The sequence below is a fragment of the Homo sapiens genome, chromosome 18, assembly GCF_000001405.40.
Source record: "Homo sapiens chromosome 18, GRCh38.p14 Primary Assembly".
NCBI classification, from domain to species: domain Eukaryota; kingdom Metazoa; phylum Chordata; class Mammalia; order Primates; family Hominidae; genus Homo; species Homo sapiens.
In genome coordinates, this window is record NC_000018.10 from 40,437,736 (window position 1) to 40,442,046 (window position 4,311).

The 4,311-nt window shown below is 35.3% G+C and overlaps 1 long non-coding RNA gene across 1 annotated transcript; it reads left to right on the plus strand.

Annotated features, from left to right (window-relative positions):
• Positions 1-363: 363 nt before the first annotated feature.
• LOC107985132 (uncharacterized) lies at positions 364-2,676 on the plus strand. Its single transcript, XR_001753537.1, has 3 exons — positions 364-467; positions 564-651; positions 2,401-2,676. It is a non-coding gene; the product is annotated as an uncharacterized LOC107985132 (long non-coding RNA).
• Positions 2,677-4,311: the final 1,635 nt, after the last annotated feature.

Sequence of the window (4,311 nt, forward strand, 5' to 3'; positions counted from 1 at the left end):
CTTGTCTCATTCCTGTCATGTTAATGGCCTCACGTCAGGAGACAGCTTCACATCTTGGCTGAAACACAAGCTCCCTTAGCTTAAAAGATTAATCAGAAGCTTGCAGCTAATAATAGACTGCCCTTCCCACTCCCATTTTAGTACCTGAAGACAAGAACAGGTTGATAAGTATTATTATTGAGTCATAGACTTGGAATCATCCTTAAAAGGTCATTTAGTCAATCCCCTCTTCTCCTAGAATTACTGCATATGAGCCATCCCAGTAACTGACCATTCACTTACAGTTGATTTAAAAAACCCCTCTGCATCCTGGCTAGTTGCTCCTGGTTTCTTTTTGCCAGAAGTCAAAAGAGGAAGCAGAAACACAGTTATAGAAGTGCAATTGTTAGTGTTACCTAGATATTTCTTTCCTTCTTTTCAGGCATTAAAGTAGCAAAATGGGCATCTATTGGCCCTGACTTCAGAAGGTATATGGGTAAATACTACTTCCCTGGGAATAGAACCATTAGCTTTGAAAGCTGGAAGGGAAATAACGACCTAAATATTTCTCTCTCAATTTATAGATGAACAAAGAAGGGCAGAAAGAGAACCACAATCCTACACACAGGAGATTTTGAAGTTTCACAAGACAGAATCTACATATAAGAATGGGTATGTATTCACAGTTAAAACTTCTTAGTCTTAAACAAAAACAAACAGCAAAATTCATTGAGTATAATTTTGTCAGGGGTGAGTATTAGAGTAGGCTTAGTTTGAGTTTATGTTAACTTCTTTTCCAATATCTCATCTACCTCCTCTAGAAACAAGGATAGAAAATAATGAGCCTCAAGTCTGTAATAAAATGTTGACAATTCATCTTCCATAGTCATTCATATAGGTTTAGTCATTCTCTTTTAGAGAATAAGAGCAGTAGTAATATTGAGATGCAGCTGGAAATTCCATCTATTCTCCTTTTAAGTCTAAAAGTGGGAATAAAACAAGGAAGCATTAGTTGATTATGACTGTAAATAAAATATTTTCTGATTAAAAATATCTATCTTCTTTTTTTGGAGATTTCCATCAAAGGCAGAGTAAATTGTCCCAAGACAGCAATTCCTGGATTCATTAATATATATATAACCTTATTCTGCTTTGGAGTGGAAATGAAGATTTCTGATCTTAGCGTCTCATAAAATGTTGGGGTTTTACACCTGCACTACTATGTATGAGGGCAGGGGACTTAGAGTATGCCTCTGGACCTGATTTCAGCCCTATGAGAGGGATTTAAAAAAATACAATAAAATGAAACAGCTCACAACACTTAATTAATTTTAAAACATTACAGTATCTATAGTTAATATTTGTTATTGGTTGAATGGTATCCCCGCAAAATACACACACACACACACACACACACATATATGTAAATATAAATAAATAGATAGATAGATAGATAGATAGATAGATAGATAGATAGATAGATAGATTTAAAGTTCAAACCCATCGCTACTGAAATGCAACCTTATTTGCAACAGGGTCTTTAGAGATGTTATTAAGTTAAAAAGGGATCATGAAGGAGGGCTCTAATTCCATATGACTGGCGTCTTGATAAAAAGGGAAAGCATGGACACAGAGACAAGCATGCAGGGAAGACAATGTGAAGAGACACACTGAAAAGACAGCCATCTACAAGAAAAGAAGGAGGATTGGAAGAGATCCTTCCTTCAAAGTCCTTAGAAGCAACCCAAACCCTGCCAATATCTTAATTTTGAATTTCTAGTAAGGCAATACATTTCTGTTGTTAAGCCACTCAGTTTATGGTACTTTGTTATGGCAACCCTAGCAGACTAATACAATATTCTTATTATATTTAAAAAAATATTTCAGAGGGGGTAAGGACCAGAGTCAATTGAAACCCAGGAGGCTATTTTTTAAATTTTCACTAATTTCCCTAAGTCCACACACGTCTCTCTGTGAAAAGGAATATGGAGTAAGAAGTTCTGAATGGCAGTCATGCCTCTAGTCACAAACCCCACATTATTTATCCCAGAAGTGGGATTAGTTATGAAACCATAGATCTATGCTTCCTCTTGTATGGCAAAGTATTATTCAGTTGTTAAATTTCATATACACTTATGATTGATGATTCCTCAGGAAAGGCAAAAATAAAGAAGCTGAGGAAATATAGAAGGAGTGGCCAAAATGCATATTGTACCCAAAGCAATGAAGACATCAGGGACAGAGATAATTCCATCTTTAGTAATATTATCTGATTCTCCTCTGGGTATTCTACTTCACATCAAATTTTAAAATGTTATGATGGAATTAGCATTTCAAATAGTTACATCTAAAAGTATATTGAGCCCATATAAACTATTATTGTTTAGAAAAAACAGAAACCTAAAATTGCCGTTGTTTTAGATTTAACCCAGAAATTATTGCCTGTTAAGAAGCACCCCGCAACAACAAAAAAAGAAAACCATAAACAAACAATCAAAAACAAACTTAAACTACAGACCAAGTAATGGTTTTCTAACACAAAAGAAGACATGAATGAATTCTGAATCGTCAGCAATATTATGCGTGTGTGAGTTTGGGATCCACAGAAGCAGATTCTGAGACGAAGATTAGTGTGCAAGTGAGCCTAAAGAGTGGAGAAATGAGGAAAGGAAATGAGACGGAACCAACCAGTGGTAAAACCCCATCCACAGCCTGATCACATAGGAAACCTCTGCTTTTAAAGCAGAAGAGCTGAGCTTTCATAACCCAGCGCCAGTCAGTCATTGATTGGCTGAGGACCTTGGGCAGGCGGACTACTCATGACTTTGGGTAGAGTGGCTTTCTAACACCAAGAGGCATCACTGCAAGGACATCACAGGAAGAGGACACTGGAAACAAAACATGTTGGGGTGAAACTAAGGGTTCATGAAAATGGAAAAAGTGATCTTAGGGAATCCAGATGCATAACAATAGCTATAATGGCTACTACTGTGGGTTATATTTTTGATAATCTCTCGAATCATTTCTTGTTGAGATAAAACGTGGCAATTATGGACCATTGCATGACAGTTTTTGAGATGTCTGTTCAGAAATTCCAAGGCAATGAACTCCTATTTGTGTCATCTAATAACTCTACTCATTTTTGGTTTGGCTTTTATTTTGCTTTCATTAATTACAATGTATAAGGAGTAAATGAAATATGTGTGTACCATTTTTAAGATAATAAACAAAATGCTCGTGTGCCCACAACTTAGATTAAGAAATAGAGCATTACGGGGAACTTAGATGCCACTCCATGCCCTTGTCTCATCACACCCTGCTCCTTCCCTAGGGAGGTTGTCATTTTGTGGAAAGATCTACCATTTTCTTTAGTGTTTTCATCTTTATTTAGATTCCAATATGACACATTGTTTCATTTGGCAGCCTTTTGAATGTAATACCATTTTAATTATACACTATCTATCCTCCCAGAGCACGTTGCTTTGCTCAACATCATGTATTTAGCTTCACTTTTATTGACAACTGTAAATGTGTTTCATTCTACAGTTGATGTGCACATGAGTTGTTTCCAGCTCTTGCCATTACCAACAATATTGTTACTCTGAATATCCCTGCATCTTTGTCTGGGTGCACCTGTGCAAGACAGTATCTAGAGCAACACTTAGGTGTTCATTAGTTGTTCCATTAGTTCTTGGCAATACTTGATGTGATCAGACTTTCTCCTTCAAGCTATTCTGGTGGATTTAAATCTGCATTTCCCATATAGTAATTAGATGGAGCATGCTTTTATATTTTTATTGGTCCTTTGGGTTTTCTCTTATGTGAATTATATGTTCAAGTCTGTTGGCAATTTCTTAGGTTATTTTCTAGGAGTATTAAAAATATATTTGAACAGTTACATATGTTCAATTTTATATGTTAACAATATCTTTTCCCAATTGGAAATTTATGTTTTTTTTTTTTTCTTTTTATGGTGTTTTGGTTGTTTACAAATGAAAGTTCTTTATTTAAATGAATCGTTTCTTTGATGTTCCCTCTTTGGGTTATTCTATGAAAATTGTTCTGTTTCGTTTCTTTCCCTGTGCTCATAGAGGTAGTCTTTTTATCATCTTCTAAGGATATTATAATTTTGCCATTTACATTTAGCTCTTTAATCCACCTGTAAATAATTTTTAAGTGACTCTTGATTTCTTTAAATAGTTAAAGAAGATCTGATGCTTTTTCCCATGTAAGTTATATCTTTCAGCGAGATCTTCATTATACCGAATCCCACAAAGTAAAACTATGTTTTAAAATACGTTATCCTTCCAGAGTGAAGAATTGTACCTCTGT